Here is a 15,240-nt window from a genome sequence, read left to right as displayed (position 1 = left end):
AAAAAAAAAAAAAAAAAAAAGAAAAATTTATTTGGCTTACAGATGTCTGGGCTGTACAAGAAGTGTGGCAGCAGCATCTGCTTCCAGTGAAGGCATTAGGCTCCTTCTACTCAGCAGAAGACAACATGCAGCTGGCATGTGCAGAGACCACATGGTAAGAGAAGAAGCCAATGGGGGAATGCAATGGGGGGACGGGGAGACACACACTTTTTTTTTTTTTTTTTGAGATGGAGTCTCGCTCTGTCACCCAGGCTGGAGTGCAGTGGCGCGATCTCGGCTCACTGCAAGCTCTGCCTCCCGGGTTCACGCCATTCTCCTGCCTCAGCCGCCCGAGTAGCTGGGACTACAGGTGCCCACCACCACGCCCCGCTGATTTTTTGTATTTTTAGTAGAGATGGGGTTTCACCATGTTAGCCAGGATGGTCTCGATCTCCTGACCTCGTGATCTGCCTGCCTTGGCTTCCCAAAGTGCTGGGATTACAGGCATGAGCCACCATGCCTGTCCCTTTTTTTTTTTTTTTTTTTGAGACAGGGGCTGTCACCCAGGCTGGAGTGCACTGGCGTGGTCATGGCTCATTGCACCTTTCACCTCAGGCTCAAGAGACCCTCCTACCTCAGCCTCCTCAGTAGCTGGGACTAAGGAAGTACACCACCATGCCCAGCTAATTATTTTTTTTAAGATGCAATCTCACTCTGTTGCCCAGGCTGCACTGCAGTGGTACAATCTCAGCTCACTGCAACCTCCGCCTCCTGGGTTCAAGCGATTCTCTTGCTTCAGCCTCCTGAGTAGCTGGGATTACAGATGCCTGCCACCAGGCCCGGCTAATTTTTGTATTTTTAGTAGATACAGGGTTTCGCCATGTTGGCCAGGCTGGTCTCGAACTCCTAACCTAAGGTGATCCGCCCATCTCGGCCTCCCAAAGTGCTGGGATTACAGGCATGAGCCACCGTGCCTGGCCCATGCCCAGCTAAGTTAAAAAAATTTTTGGCTGGGCAAGGTGATTCATACCTGTAATTCCAACAATTTGGGAAGCTAAGGCAGGCAGATCCCATTTGAGCTCAGGAATTGGAGACCATCTTGGACAATATGGCGAAATCCTGTCTCTACAAAATATACAAAAATTAGCTGGGTGTGGTGGCGCTGTGCCTGTAGTCCCAGCTACTCCAGAGGCTGAGGTGGGAGGATGGCTTGAGCCCGGGAGGCAGAGGTTGCAGTGAGCCAAAATGGTGACATTGCACTCCAGCCTGGGCAACAGAGCCAGACTCTGTCTCAAAAAAAAAAAAAAAAAGCTCTAAAAATAGATAGTGGTGATAGTTAGTTACACAACATTGTGAATGTACTTAAATGTCACTGAATTATACACTTAAATGTTTAAATGGTAAATTCTATCTTATGTATATTTTACCACAATTTAAAAATTTTATCTATTTCTATTTTAATGAGAGTTTTAAAAAGCAGGAATGGATATTGAATTTCCTTAAATACTCTTTGGAGTCTATTAAAGATAGCATTTTACTTCAAAATCCAGCCCTGGTTTCTGTACCTAGTACTTCTGTCACACCAGTAAATGTTATTGAATGAAAACAAACAAAAGACCATAAAGACATACCTCTTCACGTTCACTAGGATTGGTGTCATTTTTTTAAAAAAAGGAAAGAAAAATAACCAGTATTGGCAACAGTGTGGATATATAGAAATTTTTGTATATTGCTGGTAGGAATATAAAATAGGGAAAACGGTTTGGTGGTTCCTCAAAAAGTTCAACATAAACCCAGGCGCGGTGGCTCATGCCTGTAATCCTAGCACTTTGGGAGGCTGAGGTGGGAGAACTGTTTGATCCCAGGAGTTTGAGACCAGCCTAGGCAATATGGTGAGACCTCATCTCTACAAAAAATTAGCTAGGCATGGTGGCGCATGCCTGTAGTCCCAGCTACCTGGGAGGCTAAGACAGAAAGATCACTTGAGCCTGGAAGGGAGTTTGAGGCTGCAGTGAGCCCAGATTGCGCCACTGCACTCCAGCCTGGGTGACAGAGTGATATCCTGTCTCAAAATAAATAAATAAATAATAAACAAACACAGAATTACCATATGACCCAGCAACTCTACTCCTGTGTATATGCCCAAAAAAGCTGAAAGCCCAGGCGCTGTGGCTTACACCTGTAATCCCAGCACTTTAGGAGGCCGAGGCACTTGACCCCAGGATTTTGAGACCAGCCTGGGCAACATAGTACTTGTTCAAGAATCAGGCTGGGCATGGTGGCTCACACCTGTAATCCCAGCACTTTGGGAGGGCAAGGTGGGAGGATCACTTGAGGCCAGGCATTCGAGACCAGCCTGGGCAAGATAGCAATACCCACCCCCAATCTCTACAAAAGCAAGTAATTAATTAGGAAATTAGCCAAAGCCAGGTGCGGTGGCTCACGCCTGTAGTCCCAGCACTTTGGGAGGCTGAGGTGGGCAGATTGCTTGAGTCCAGAGATTCGAGACCAGCCTAGGCAACATATCAAAACCCCGTCTCTACTAAAAGTAAAAAAAGAAAAATTGCACTCTGGGAGGCCAAGGCGGGGGGATCACCTGATGTCAGGAGTTCAAGACCAGCCTGGCCAACATGGTGAAACCCCATCTCTACAAAAATACAAAAGTTAGCCGGGCATGATGGCAGTGTCTGTAATCCCAGCTACTCAGGAGGCTGGGTCGGAAGAATCATTTGAATCCAGGAGGCGGAGGTTGCAGTGAACCAAGATTGTGCCATTGCATTCCAGCCTGGGTGACAGAGCAAGCCTCCGTCTCAAAAAAAAAAAAAAAAGAAAAATTAGCCAGATGTGGTGGTGCATGCCTGTGGTCCCAGCTACTCAGGAGGCTGTGGTGGGAGGATTGCTTGAGCCCAAGACACTGAGGCTGCAGTGAGCCATGATCACACCACTGCACTCCAGCCTAGGCAACCAGAGTGAGACCCTGTCTCAAAAACAAACAAACAAACAAAAACCACTTTAACAGGGTATGGTGGTGCACACCTCTAGTCCCAGCTACTTGGGAGGTTGAGGCAGCCGGATCACTTGACCCCAGGAGATCGAGGCTGCAGTGAGCTGTGATTGTGCCACTGCAGTCCAGCCTGGGCAACCGAGTGAGACTGTCTCAAAAAGAAAAAAAAAAAAAAAAGGACATAGCAGCACTATTCACAAATCCAAAAGTTAGAAATAACCCAGATGTCCATCAACAGATGAATGGATAAACGAATTGTGGTATATACATATAATGGACTATTATTCAGCCATTAAAAGGAATGAAATATTGATACAGGCTATAAACTCTATGAACATTGAAAACATTCTAAGTGAAAGGAAATAGACATAAGAGGTCACATTTTGCAATTCTTTTTTTTTTTTTTTTTTTTTTTGAGACTGAGTCTCACTCTGTTGCCCAGGCTGGAGCGCAGTGGCTCGATCTCAGCTCACTGCAACCTCCATCTCCCGAATTCAAGCAATTCTTCTGCCTCAGCCTCCCGAGTAGCTGGGATTACATGTAGGCATGCACCACCATGCCTGGCTAATTTTTGTACTTTTAGTAGAGATGGGGTTTCACCATGTTGGTCAGGCTGGTCTTGAACTCCAGACCTCAGGTGGTCCACCCGCCTTGGCCTCCCAAAGTGCTAGGATTACAGGTGTGAGCCACCATGCCCGGCCACATGTATGGTAATTATTGAATGTGTTTGGTATGTTCGTTGTGGGTGATGAAATATTTTGGAACTAGATAGACGTGATGGTTGAACAACACTGTGGATGCACTAAATGCCACTGAATTGTACACTTTAAAATTGTTAACTTTATGTTACATGAATTTCACCTAAATTAACAACAACAACAAAAAAGAACTTAAGACAGCACTTGGTTTGGCTATTACGTAGTTTCGTGACAAACAGTGGTCCATCTCCCAGAGAACTGGCCCCAGGTTCCTAAGAAGGCAAAAGGAGACACAGGACCTCTCTGCACTATTTTTTTTGCAACTTCTTATGAGTCTATAATTATTTCAAAATAAAAGTCTAAAAGGAAAATAAGAACATGTGTGAATGTGGCTGCCCCATGCCTCCCACCCTCAGGTCTGACACTCAGAGACTGATCACCTCTTGAGAGTCCTGGAACTCATCCCAGGTTTTAGACCCTGAATGGCCTGTCTGGGGCTGGCGTCTGGAGGCAGGATCAGGAGCCAGCTCAGAGCATAGTTTAACTTTCACTTTTCTTTTCTCCAGGAAGAGAGCTGTGACCAGCAGCGTCCCTTATTCGCTTGGCCTTGGTTCCTGTTTGCACTGGCTACAGCAGGGCACTGGCCCCTACTGTCACCGCCACCTACACAAAGACCCTATCTCTGAGCGCTGCAGCCTACTGTTCAGCCCCAGGTTTGAGGATGGATGCCCTGGACGCTTCGAAGCTACTGGATGAGGAGCTGTATTCAAGACAGCTGTGAGGCCCGAGGTGGGGGGTGGAGAGTGGGATGGTCTTCAGACCTTGATCTACAACTGCTTGCCTTCTGCTTCCCATCCACAGGTATGTGCTGGGCTCACCTGCCATGCAGAGGATTCAGGGAGCCAGGGTCCTGGTGTCAGGCCTGCAGGGCCTGGGGGCCGAGGTGGCCAAGAACTTGGTTCTGATGGGTGTGGGCAGCCTCACTCTGCATGATCCCCACCCCACCTGCTGGTCCGACCTGGCTGCCCAGGTAAGTGTCCTGGGGGGCTATGGGCTGCCAGACCAAGGTGGGGGCACGGCCCAAGAGGAGTGTCTTTGCTCAGGCTGCACTGGCTCTCTCCCTAGTTTCTCCTCTCAGAGCAGGACTTGGAAAGGAGCAGAGCCGAGGCCTCTCAAGAGCTCTTGGCTCAGCTCAACAGAGCTGTCCAGGTCGTCGTGCACACGGGTGACATCACTGAGGACCTGCTGTTGGACTTCCAGGTCAGCTCAGGCCTGCAGCCCTCAAGAGCAGGAAGGGCTGGGCAATGGTTTTGGCCCTGCTGATCACTGTGTCCACCCAGGTGGTGGTGCTGACTGCTGCAAAGCTGGAGGAGCAGCTGAAGGTGGGCACCTTGTGTCATAAGCATGGAGTTTGCTTTCTGGCGGCTGACACCCGGGGCCTCGTGGGGTGAGTAAGACTGCCTGCCCAGCCTACCATATTACAGCCAGCAACTGGCCTCATGCTGTCCTCAGCTCCAGGCTTGCTCCAGTGCCCCTCCAACCAGCCTCAGGTCTATCCCAGCATGCCTTTCTGATTCTGGTCCCCAGTCCTGCCCTCTGGTTCCTCCAACCTAGCCTCCAGACCTGCTCCAGTAACCCTCTCAAATTCTAGTTCCCAAGCCTCTCCTTGCATTCCTTTCCCAATTCTGGCCCTCTGGCCCTGCCCTAGTATCCCCTATCCTTAAGTACAATCTGTAAGCCACCTCAGTGACCCCTACCACCCCATCTCAGGCAGTTGTTCTGTGACTTTGGTGAGGACTTCACTGTGCAGGACCCCACAGAGGCAGAACCCCTGACAGCTGCCATCCAGCACATCTCCCAGGTGGGTGCTGAGCTGTAGGCATTCACCTGCTGACCAAGGAGAGGCTGCCAGGGCCTGTGGAAGGCAGGTCCAGGCAACCCTGAGCCAAGCCTCCTCCTACCCAGGGCTCCCCTGGCATTCTCACTCTGAGGAAAGGGGCCAATACCCACTACTTCCGTGATGGAGACTTGGTGACTTTCTCGGGAATTGAGGGAATGGTTGAGCTCAACGACTGTGATCCCCGGTCTATCCACGTGCGGGGTAAGCCAATCCCATTCCAATTCCAGGTGCAGGGCCCAAGCCTCCACTGGAAGTGAGCACAGCCTGGCCCTTGGGATGGGTTTTTCTCCCTCCACCTTCTACAAGGTGCAGCAAGGTCTGGGACACAGATGCAAGATAGGATGGGGTGTGGGAACTACTCAGGCTCAAGGATCATTACTGACTAGACTGGAACTCCCTCAGAGGATGGGTCCCTGGAGATTGGAGACACAACAACTTTCTCTCGGTACTTGCGTGGTGGGGCTATCACTGAAGTCAAGAGACCCAAGACTGTGAGACATGTGAGTGCAAGTGCATCTGAGGTAGGGGAGCTTGGTCGCCTTGAGGGGCCCATAGCATTCTGGACTAGACCCTGAGCCAGGTGCCCTTGCAGAAGTCCCTGGACACAGCCCTGCTCCAGCCCCATGTGGTGGCCCAGAGCTCCCAGGAAGTTCACCATGCCCACTGCCTGCATCAGGCCTTCTGTGCACTGCACAAGTTCCAGCACCTCCATGGCCGGCCACCCCAGCCCTGGGATCCTGTGAGTAGTCCTGTTGCTCCCACCCCCAGCCTCTGTCATTTATTGGGGTCCCACCTGCCAGAGGCAACAATGACCATTCACAAATCCAAGTCTGATCTCCCAACACTGCAGCCTTTAGAGTAGAGACTGGTTCCATGGAAGTGCCAGGCACACATCCTGGGGACTCCTGCTACACCCCGACCCCTCAGATCTGTGCTGGAAGCTGCACTCAGATTAGTGAAGCCTCCTGGACTGCTGTCTGGTACTGGGCATCCTCTGGTGGTGCTGTGCAGGCTGGCAGCAGGGCCAGGCCTTCCCACCCAGGCTTCTGCTTCCTCTTCTGTGGAACAGGGTGGATGGAGGGTGGCTGGAAGGATTTGAGTCAGGAGTAGAGCTCAGGCTGGGGCTACTATGCCCACAGAGTCCTACCAACAGGTTGATGCAGAGACTGTGGTGGGCCTGGCCCGGGACCTGGAACCACTGAAGCGGACAGAGGAAGAGCCACTGGAAGAGCCACTGGATGAGGCCCTAGTGCGGACAGTCGCCCTAAGCAGTGCAGGTGTCTTGAGCCCTATGGTGGCCATGCTGGGTGCAGTAGCTGCCCAGGAAGTGCTGAAGGTGGGCAGAGGCATAGGTGTGGGGGGTACTGGGAAGATGTGGAGATCAGTGTGTGTGTCAGAGGGCACCCAGCGCTAGAGAGCAGCCCTGGAGCCTTCACCAACCTGGGTGAAGCCTCCAGCCAGGATCTGAGGGGGGTCAGGAGGTGGCAGGAGTGCCCAGCCTGAAGTGCTGCCCCTAGGCAATCTCCAGGAAGTTCATGCCTCTGGACCAGTGGCTTTACTTTGATGCCCTCGATTGTCTTCCGGAAGATGGGGAGCTCCTTCCCAGTCCTGAGGACTGTGCCCTGGTGAGAGCCTGGGATAGGGGTGCAAGCCTTGTCCAAAATCAGGACTAGGGGAGAAGCATGAGGAATGCCCTCCAGGTCCTGATTCAGAAAACTCAGTATAAGAAGGAGATGCAGGCCAGTAGCCATCACTGACCCCGTCTCTGTCCCCTAGAGAGGCAGCCGCTATGATGGGCAAATTGCAGTGTTTGGGGCTGGTTTTCAGGAGAAACTGAGACGCCAGCACTACCTCCTGGTGAGCTGTGGGGTGAGACTGGGGGTGCCTTTGGGAGAGCCAGCCCAGCCCCTCTGGCTAAGGCTGTTCCTGCCAACAGGTGGGCGCTGGTGCCATTGGTTGTGAGCTGCTCAAAGTCTTTGCCCTAGTGGGACTGGGGGCCGGGAACAGCGGGGGCTTGACTGTTGTTGACATGGACCACATAGAGCGCTCCAATCTCAGCCGTCAGTTCCTCTTCAGGTCCCAGGACGTTGGTGTGAGTGCTGACCCCTCTCCACACTCCTGCATCCCAGACCGTCCTCCCATACAGCTTCCCACCCAACATCTTCCTGCCTTCTTCCCAGAGACCCAAGGCAGAGGTGGCTGCAGCAGCTGCCCGGGGCCTGAACCCAGACTTACAGGTGATCCCGCTCACCTACCCACTGGATCCCACCACAGAGCACATCTATGGGGATAACTTTTTCTCCCGTGTGGATGGTGTGGCTGCTGCCCTGGACAGTTTCCAGGCCCGTGAGTGCTTGACTTCGGAGGTCAGTCCCTTGCCCACAGCTGTGCCAGTCCCACTTCTGACCCACTGCTCCCTTGCCAGGGCGCTATGTGGCTGCTCGTTGCACCCACTATCTGAAGCCACTGCTGGAGGCAGGCACATCGGGCACCTGGGGCAGTGCTACAGTATTCATGCCACATGTGACTGAGGCCTACAGAGCCCCTGCCTCAGCTGCAGCTTCTGAGGATGCCCCCTACCCTGTCTGTACCGTGCGGTACTTCCCTAGCACAGCCGAGCACACCCTGCAGGTAGGAAGCACCCTGGAGACTCCCACCCCACCCAGCTCAGCCCTCAGCTGCAGACCTGTTCTCCACCTGATACCTCATTCTTCCTCCCTCCTCCACAGTGGGCCCGGCATGAGTTTGAAGAACTCTTCCGACTGTCTGCAGAGACCATCAACCACCACCAACAGTAAGGCCACCAACAGAGGCAGATGGGAGTCCAGGGCTCCAAGCATGAGTCTGCAGGACTCAGTCTCACACTTCCTCCTCTCTCTGCAGGGCACACACTTCCCTGGCAGACATGGATGAGCCACAGACACTCACCTTACTGAAGCCAGTGCTTGGGGTCCTGAGAGTGCGTCCACAGAACTGGCAAGACTGTGTGGCGTGGGCTCTTGGCCACTGGAAACTCTGCTTTCATTATGGCATCAAACAGCTGCTGAGGCACTTCCCACCTAATAAAGTGTGTGGCTAGGGGTTGGGACGCTGGGGGCTCAGGGGGACCAGACTGAGCCCAGCAGCTTCTACTTACCTACCTAGGTGCTTGAGGATGGAACTCCCTTCTGGTCAGGTCCCAAACAGTGTCCCCAGCCCTTGGAGTTTGACACCAACCAAGTGAGTGGGATTCTGTAGGGAGCTCCAAGATAGAGATGTGGCCCCTCAGAGCAGAGGTAGGCATTTCTGCATTCTGCAGAGATGCACAGATGCCCAGAGAGAGCCATGCTTGTGCATATATGGGTGTCTACATGTGAGGCAAAGGCAGGCACTCAAACAGATCCACAAATGGACAGTGACCCCCACCCCATGCACCCATGCCTCTGTTCCTGCTCTTGGTCTGGCTGCAGGACACACACCTCCTCTACGTACTGGCAGCTGCCAACCTGTATGCCCAGATGCATGGGCTGCCTGGCTCACAGGACTGGACTGCACTCAGGGAGCTGCTGAAGCTGCTGCCACAGCCTGACCCCCAACAGATGGCCCCCATCTTTGCTAGTAATCTAGAGCTGGCTTCGGCTTCTGCTGAGTTTGGTGAGGCTCCTGGCCCTGGCCCCTCATGCTGTCTTTCAAAGGCCTGAACCTGTCCTGTCCTCAGCCTGTGCTGCAGAAGGAAGATAGGGCCTAGGGGATCTACAGCCAATTTGCTACCTCTCAGGCCTCCTAACCTCACTCCTCCATAGTTTCAGGCTTATCCTCTGGTCCCTCAGTAGGTCTTCTCCCTGCTGCCTACCCCACATCCCAGTTCTTGTGGCAGATTCTTGGCAAAATAAATAAGTAAATAAATAAAGTCCATTGGTTCCTGGGGAGTGTCTAGCTATGGCCTGCAGGTGAGGACAGGGTCACAGAGGTCATGAGCACACATGGGTGAAGACTGGGGCTTCTAGAGGGGAGATTGTAGCATTAATTAAGGGGGCTTCTTGATTTGATCAGGGAATAGTAAGTGACAGGCTTGGCAAAGACCAAGAATAGGCACAGGGCTCCAAGAAGAGTGCAGGAGACAGGGGCTAAGGACTGCCTCAACATCCCCTCCCCTGACAGGCCCTGAGCAGCAGAAGGAACTGAACAAAGCCCTGGAAGTCTGGAGTGTGGGCCCTCCCCTGAAGCCTCTGATGTTTGAGAAGGTGGGTGCCCAAGTGGCAGTGAGGAGTGGGGCTGGGGAGTTTGTGGAGAAAGGTCAGGAGCTAATAAGGTAGTTTTGGAGCCCCTTGGCCTGAATTCTCCCAGCAAGACCCTGGAAGCAGCTCACATTCCCTGAACCTCAGCCTGTCTGATCAAGAGGAGATGTGGGGCAACCCCCCGACAGAACTGTGTGGAGACTTGTGCAGTGACACGCAGTGGGCCACGGTGAGGGGCACAGCTGCAGTGTTAACACTACTTTGACTTGGGCCTTACAGGATGATGACAGCAACTTCCATGTGGACTTTGTGGTAGCGGCAGCTAGCCTGAGATGTCAGAACTACGGGATTCCACCGGTCAACCGTGCCCAGGTAACCCCACCCCTTGAGGCTTGGGCCTGGAGGTGGAGGGCAAACCCTGGCCCTACGCCTTGGGCCCAGACCAAATCTCTTGTCCTTGGCAGAGCAAGCGAATTGTGGGCCAGATTATCCCAGCCATTGCCACCACTACAGCAGCTGTGGCAGGCCTGTTGGGCCTGGAGCTGTATAAGGTGGTGAGTGGGCCACGGCCTCGTAGTGCCTTTCGCCACAGCTACCTACATCTGGCTGAAAACTACCTCATCCGCTATATGCCTTTTGCCCCAGCCATCCAGACGGTGAGCCCATGATACCCCACCCTTAGCCCTACTAGGCCTGGGTTTCCCCTGCACCTGCCCATACAGGCCCCAATCTAGCTGCCGGCTCTCACTGAAACTCAGACTGTGCAGAAGTCCTGAAGACTCCCTCCAGCCCTCTTCCTGCTATGAAGCCAGGCTGGGACCTGTCAGACACAGGAAGCAGCCGTCAGCCATCCCCACCCCCAATCCTCCAAAGCCCAGGATCTGGGGGAGCTGCAGCTTTAACTCATTAGTGGAGCCAGACATCCCCCACAGTCCCCTCCTTCCTTGGAGTACCCCTGAGGGGTAGGTAGTGGGGAGGGGACCAGGGCATCAGCCCCAGAAAGAGTCTAGCTTCCCCCTGCATGGTACGGGGGCCCTGGCCTACCTCCTACAAGCTGAGTTAAAAGGTAATAGGCTTGCCACTAGAGGTGTGGGGTCTGCAGCCCTGAGTGTATTTGTGTCACAGTTGTGAGTGCAACTGGGGTCTGGGCATCCCCGGAGTGTGGGTATGGAAGGAGCAAGTTTGCACATCTGTGCATCAGATGGGAGTGCAGGGCTCCCATCTTCCTGTGTCCTCAATGTGGGCATGCATGGAGATGCATGTGGGCACACATGTGTGTGTTCCTGGGCTTGTGGGCATTTGTGTTCCTGTGACTGCAGCGCTGTGAATGCCTCCAGCCTTGTGCCCAGGCTCTGCAGTTGGCATTTCCTTGGGGCAAGGATGAGGGTAGAAGGAATGCCCTCATGAGGGGAGAGGGCAGAGGTCATGGGCCAGCACTGGGTTTCTGCTGAGCAGCCTGGGGTCCCTCTGGACTAGCACACAGAGCCCCTTTGTGAGGCACCCTGCCTCTAACCAGCATACAGGCTGCCTTTGTCCACAGAGTGAAGCAGGTGAAGGAGAAGCCCCCATCTCACCTCTAGCCTAGTCTCAGCTTGACCCCAGTGTGTTTTCTCAGGGGCTGATAAGCACCCCCTGTCCTGGTCTCTAGATACCTGCCAGCCATCCTTCTGTCCTTAGCTCTAGGTCCCAGAACCCCAAGACTCTTGGAAGGAAGGAAGGGACAGGAGGAGGAAGCCTCTATGCATTGTATCCCTGCTGGGGTCTCTGGGACAGTGGGGCCCTGGTGGTCACTGTGCCCTTTGCCCCTGTGTCCCAATGAGTAGCCCAAGGCACTGGCAGTACATACAAGATTGGGGGACAGGATGTGCCCCCCAGCTCCCAGCCTTGTCTTTGAGGAACAAGCAGCTTTATCAGAGGCTGCAGGGGCCCTGCTCTGGGTTTCCTCAGGAAGCACCACCCCCTCATCCCCCACTCTCACAACTGGCCCATGTGATGGATCGTCTGTTTCCCTGTGCGGGCCCCATAGCCCCATTTCCTGTGCTGGCCCCGGCCTGGACGGGGAGGGGGCTGAGACTCTGGGCCCAGATCCCACCTCCCCCCCACCCCCCACCCCCTGGCTCCTGTTTCCTGCTAGTCCAGCTCTTCCCCTAGGAAAGGCTGCTGGTAACTGGGATGGGGGTTGGGGGGAGGTAAGAAGTCTCTGACTCCTCCTCTACCTCATCCCAGTTCCATCACCTGAAGTGGACCTCTTGGGACCGTCTGAAGGTACCAGCTGGGCAGCCTGAGAGGACCCTGGAGTCGCTGCTGGCTCATCTTCAGGTGTGCCCTGTTGCTACCCCAACCCCCAGGCTCAGCCCAGCCCGGCCCAGCTGGTGTCTGACCTTTCTCCTCTAGGAGCAGCACGGGTTGAGGGTGAGGATCCTGCTGCACGGCTCAGCCCTGCTCTATGCGGCCGGATGGTCACCTGAAAAGCAGGCCCAGCACCTGCCCCTCAGGTGAGCCCACTTGGGGCTTTAGACAGGCCCCACCAGTCCCTGGAGGCTGGGGCTAGGGACCACACTGCCTTTTGTCTTCCCAGCCCCATTCTGGGCCCCTCACACCTTCCCAAGCATTCTTTCCCCAAATGGAGCCAGCAAACAGGCTGGAGGTGGGGTGAGGGCCGAGAGCCTGAGGAGGAGTCTTCAGGAGCTGCCTATTTGGCCAGCCCCATGGGCTCCCCACATGCTGCACAGCCCCCCTTTCACAGCCCACTCCCAAGGGACCCATAGCTTCCTGCCTCCTGCTTGCCTCATCAGCTGCTCCTAAAATAGTTTCAGATGTTTCCTGTCTTGAGCAGCTCCTGCTCCTGGCTTGGGCTCCTGACGGCCTGCCAGCACCCTCTCTAGTCCATGCCAGGCTGCCTTCTGCTTGCCATGGCTCACCTCTCCAATCTCCCCTAAACCCACCCCTACCAGGGTGACAGAACTGGTTCAGCAGCTGACAGGCCAGGCACCTGCTCCTGGGCAGCGGGTGTTGGTGCTAGAGCTGAGCTGTGAGGGTGACGACGAGGACACTGCCTTCCCACCTCTGCACTATGAGCTGTGACAAGGCAGCCACCCTGTCACCTAGCTCAATGGAGCCCCGGATCCCAAGCCCTGCATTGTAAGCCCACAGTAGGCACTCAATAAATGCTTGTTAAAGGAAGGCATTGCAGAGAGGATGGACGATAGAAAACAGTGCACTAATGCACACGGGTGTGACATGGGCATGACAGGGACCTTCACACAGAGAAAAAAAGCTCTTCAGAAGATTTGTCTCCCTGGGCAGTGCCTCACAGGGCTGGGGCTGCCTCTTAGTGCCTCAGGGGTATGGAGCCAGGACAGTCTAGAAAAAAGGCTTTTATTGTCCCAGGCTGGAGGGCAGGGTCAGAGGTAGCTGACATCATTGCAGATGATGGGCTGGCGGCTACGACAGCTCATGAGAGCTGCAAAGCGTGAGACATCCGCAGGCAGTTCAGGTTCTGGGCGAGGTGGGCATGACAGCCGCTTTCCTGCCATAGCTGTCCGCCGAGCCCTGGCCAGCCGGCGCCGAAGCTGCTCAGAGAGGCCAAGCAGGAACTGAGGGGGCCGAGCACGGGCACGGTGCCCACCTCCGTCACCCCCTTCACTCCCTGTCTCAGGCAGCTCCATCCAGTTGTGCACCAAGTCAGCAAAGCAATTGTCCCCTAGTACCAGGGGCTGGCGACTGCGACCCCTGTTCAGTAGGGCTGCTGTCCAGTCCTCTGCTTCCAGTCCCTGCCAGTGCTCCAGGCAGGCGTCTGGGGTGGACTTGGGCCGTGGATGGTGGACAGGTGGTACACTGGCTACAGGGGCCCTGCTGGGCATGGGGAGGCCACTGACTGAGAGGCACTGCCTACGAAGGGGCTGTGCTGAGGGTGCTGGGCGCTGGGATACAGGCAGTTCTTCCTCTCGCCATGTGCTGCCTGACACCTCCGAGAAGCCAGAGTCCCAGTCCAGGGCATGCTCCCTGGGGCCTCCCAAGGCTGCATCCCTGTCTTCTGTCACCACTGCTTCCTCCTCCTCCTCTTCCTCCTCCTCCACACAGCAGACTGAGTCCTCTTCCAAGGCACCCGAGGCCCTAAGCTGGTGGCTGGGCTGCACATCTGGGCCAGTTTGGGAGGTTGGCTGCAGGGGACCAGGCATTGAGGGTGAGCCTGTGTCCCGACCACACAACTGAGGGGAAGAGAGGGCAGAAGTCGGAGAGGTATCACTTGTCACCAGGCCAGCCCAGAGAACAGAGGGTCCAGGAAGGTTAGATAGGCCTGCTGGCCTGGGCAGCAGGGTGTTAGTGAGCACAGGGCAGGCATAGGGGTGCTGGCACTCGAAGCTGGTGTGGTTCTCATCCACCGACCTGGTGGCAGTCTGGCAGGCTGCAGCATGCAGGGCCGGGCAAGTCGGCACCCGCCACCAGGGCGGGCGGGCAGGCAGGCAGGGTTGCGGGCCTGAACGGGGAAGTAGGTCCTGCCCAGGACTGGAGGGGCATCCCGTGCCTATTGGGGGATTCAGCTCCCAAAGCCCAAAGCGTCTTTCACAGAAAGAGCGCTTGCTAGGTGAGGGGTAGAGAAGGGAGGCATAGGCCAGCCTGAAGTAGGGGGCGTTCACAGCAGCGCCAGCACCTCGTTAGTCCCTTGCCGCCCCATGCCCCGCCCCCAAAGAAGTCCCCCTTCCACTCTCTCCTCCCGCGCCGTTCCAGCAGCACGGCCAGCTGGATGCTGTTATCTGATGCTCAGCTCAGTTCCCAACCGTCCGAAACCCGACGCGGGCCATCTGAGCCATATGCGCCACGCCGCCCCCACCCCGCCTCGGACCGGCACGCTGGAGCCACCCCGCACCCGTCTGTTGTTCCGGCCGGGCGGCAGCCTGGCATCCCGCACGCGTCCTCACTAACCACACCCGCTCCCGAGCCTCACCAGTTCCCAGCGGAGCTGGCTAAGGAAGCTGTCAAGCCGAGCGCTGTGCATGTCCATGCCAGGGCCCCCACCGAACCTACTAGCTCCTCTTGGAACCCCGGCGGAGCCGCGCGGAGAGGGCTGGGAGGGCCGGCCAGCGGCGCCCTCAGCCTCCGCCTGCCTGCGCGACTCCTCGCTCTCCGTAGCTCCCGCCGCCGCCGCCCCGACATCTGGCAGCCGCGCCCCGCCCCGGCCCCGCGGCCAAAGGGGGCGGGGCTAAAGCCCGGCGTCCCTCCCGACTCCGCCGCGGTTCTGGGTGGGAAGGGCGGGGTCATAACTGGAAGCCGGACGGGGCCGGTACGGGGACCCCCCGAGCCCCCAGACTGTTGAGTGGACCCTGCGTTTGCTGCGTGACGCAGGACAGGTCGCCTCCGTGCGGGGGCCTCATCCTCCCCGTTTGTTCAATGGTGAAATAGCGGTCCCTCTCACGGGGCGCCGTGCTGCGTCCGCACATA

General features: G+C 55.7%; 2 protein-coding genes and 1 non-coding gene across 4 annotated transcripts, besides 9 other annotated features; 2 read left to right on the top strand and 1 right to left on the bottom strand.

The window, feature by feature from the left end:
* Positions 4,114-4,503: an enhancer, noted in NCBI's record as "active region_19880". NCBI's record gives its function as "activates an Ori minimal core promoter by ATAC-STARR-seq in GM12878 lymphoblastoid cells {active_cell/tissue: GM12878}" and the evidence as "EXISTENCE:reporter gene assay evidence [ECO:0000049][PMID:35858748]".
* Positions 4,237-12,981, top strand: UBA7 (ubiquitin like modifier activating enzyme 7). The gene is made up of 24 exons (NM_003335.3): positions 4,237-4,458; positions 4,543-4,711; positions 4,807-4,941; positions 5,022-5,128; positions 5,452-5,542; positions 5,647-5,782; positions 5,984-6,081; positions 6,174-6,320; positions 6,735-6,917; positions 7,099-7,206; positions 7,358-7,438; positions 7,518-7,673; positions 7,762-7,927; positions 8,007-8,212; positions 8,311-8,375; positions 8,465-8,648; positions 8,726-8,800; positions 9,031-9,214; positions 9,722-9,804; positions 10,078-10,170; positions 10,263-10,454; positions 12,025-12,117; positions 12,193-12,293; positions 12,753-12,981. The coding sequence occupies exons 1-24, from the start codon at positions 4,403-4,405 to the stop codon at positions 12,880-12,882; spliced, it is 3,039 nt and encodes a 1,012-aa protein (NP_003326.2). The 5' UTR covers positions 4,237-4,402; the 3' UTR covers positions 12,883-12,981.
* Positions 6,231-6,730: an enhancer, noted in NCBI's record as "H3K27ac hESC enhancer chr3:49848893-49849392 (GRCh37/hg19 assembly coordinates)". NCBI's record gives its function as "activates a minimal SCP1, AML or CMV promoter by ChIP-STARR-seq in primed H9 embryonic stem cells {active_cell/tissue: H9 hESC(primed)}" and the evidence as "EXISTENCE:reporter gene assay evidence [ECO:0000049][PMID:30033119]".
* Positions 9,888-10,784: an enhancer, noted in NCBI's record as "H3K4me1 hESC enhancer chr3:49844839-49845735 (GRCh37/hg19 assembly coordinates)". NCBI's record gives its function as "activates a minimal SCP1, AML or CMV promoter by ChIP-STARR-seq in primed H9 embryonic stem cells {active_cell/tissue: H9 hESC(primed)}" and the evidence as "EXISTENCE:reporter gene assay evidence [ECO:0000049][PMID:30033119]".
* Positions 10,154-10,213: an enhancer, noted in NCBI's record as "active region_19879". NCBI's record gives its function as "activates an Ori minimal core promoter by ATAC-STARR-seq in GM12878 lymphoblastoid cells {active_cell/tissue: GM12878}" and the evidence as "EXISTENCE:reporter gene assay evidence [ECO:0000049][PMID:35858748]".
* Positions 10,364-10,413: an enhancer, noted in NCBI's record as "active region_19878". NCBI's record gives its function as "activates an Ori minimal core promoter by ATAC-STARR-seq in GM12878 lymphoblastoid cells {active_cell/tissue: GM12878}" and the evidence as "EXISTENCE:reporter gene assay evidence [ECO:0000049][PMID:35858748]".
* Positions 10,514-10,683: an enhancer, noted in NCBI's record as "active region_19877". NCBI's record gives its function as "activates an Ori minimal core promoter by ATAC-STARR-seq in GM12878 lymphoblastoid cells {active_cell/tissue: GM12878}" and the evidence as "EXISTENCE:reporter gene assay evidence [ECO:0000049][PMID:35858748]".
* Positions 11,414-11,693: an enhancer, noted in NCBI's record as "active region_19876". NCBI's record gives its function as "activates an Ori minimal core promoter by ATAC-STARR-seq in GM12878 lymphoblastoid cells {active_cell/tissue: GM12878}" and the evidence as "EXISTENCE:reporter gene assay evidence [ECO:0000049][PMID:35858748]".
* Positions 11,680-11,974: an enhancer, noted in NCBI's record as "tiled region #10954; K562 Activating non-DNase unmatched - State 5:Enh, and HepG2 Activating DNase matched - State 8:EnhW". NCBI's record gives its function as "activates a minimal TATA promoter and a strong SV40 promoter by Sharpr-MPRA in K562 cells, with weaker activity in HepG2 cells {active_cell/tissue: K562 | HepG2}" and the evidence as "EXISTENCE:reporter gene assay evidence [ECO:0000049][PMID:27701403]".
* Positions 11,945-12,053, top strand: MIR5193 (microRNA 5193). Its single transcript, NR_049825.1, has one exon. It is a non-coding gene; the product is annotated as a microRNA 5193 (primary transcript).
* A 178-nt stretch (positions 12,982-13,159) lies between the features above and the next one.
* Positions 13,160-14,929, bottom strand: INKA1 (inka box actin regulator 1). 2 transcript variants are annotated; one of them, NM_203370.2, is made up of 2 exons: positions 14,747-14,929; positions 13,160-14,009 (listed from the first exon to the last, which is right to left on the bottom strand). In NM_203370.2, the coding sequence occupies exons 1-2, from the start codon at positions 14,795-14,797 to the stop codon at positions 13,203-13,205; spliced, it is 858 nt and encodes a 285-aa protein (NP_976248.2). In that variant the 5' UTR covers positions 14,798-14,929; the 3' UTR covers positions 13,160-13,202. The 2 variants fall into 2 exon arrangements, with proteins under 2 accessions (NP_976248.2, NP_001353210.1); NM_001366281.1 differs by having other exon boundaries at positions 14,827-14,929.
* Positions 14,653-15,092: a silencer, noted in NCBI's record as "silent region_14375". NCBI's record gives its function as "represses an Ori minimal core promoter by ATAC-STARR-seq in GM12878 lymphoblastoid cells {active_cell/tissue: GM12878}" and the evidence as "EXISTENCE:reporter gene assay evidence [ECO:0000049][PMID:35858748]".

The sequence above is a fragment of the Homo sapiens genome, chromosome 3, assembly GCF_000001405.40.
Source record: "Homo sapiens chromosome 3, GRCh38.p14 Primary Assembly".
NCBI lineage: Eukaryota > Metazoa > Chordata > Mammalia > Primates > Hominidae > Homo > Homo sapiens.
Note: the sequence above shows the minus strand (reverse complement) of the source record. Positions and strands in the feature narration are given on the sequence as shown.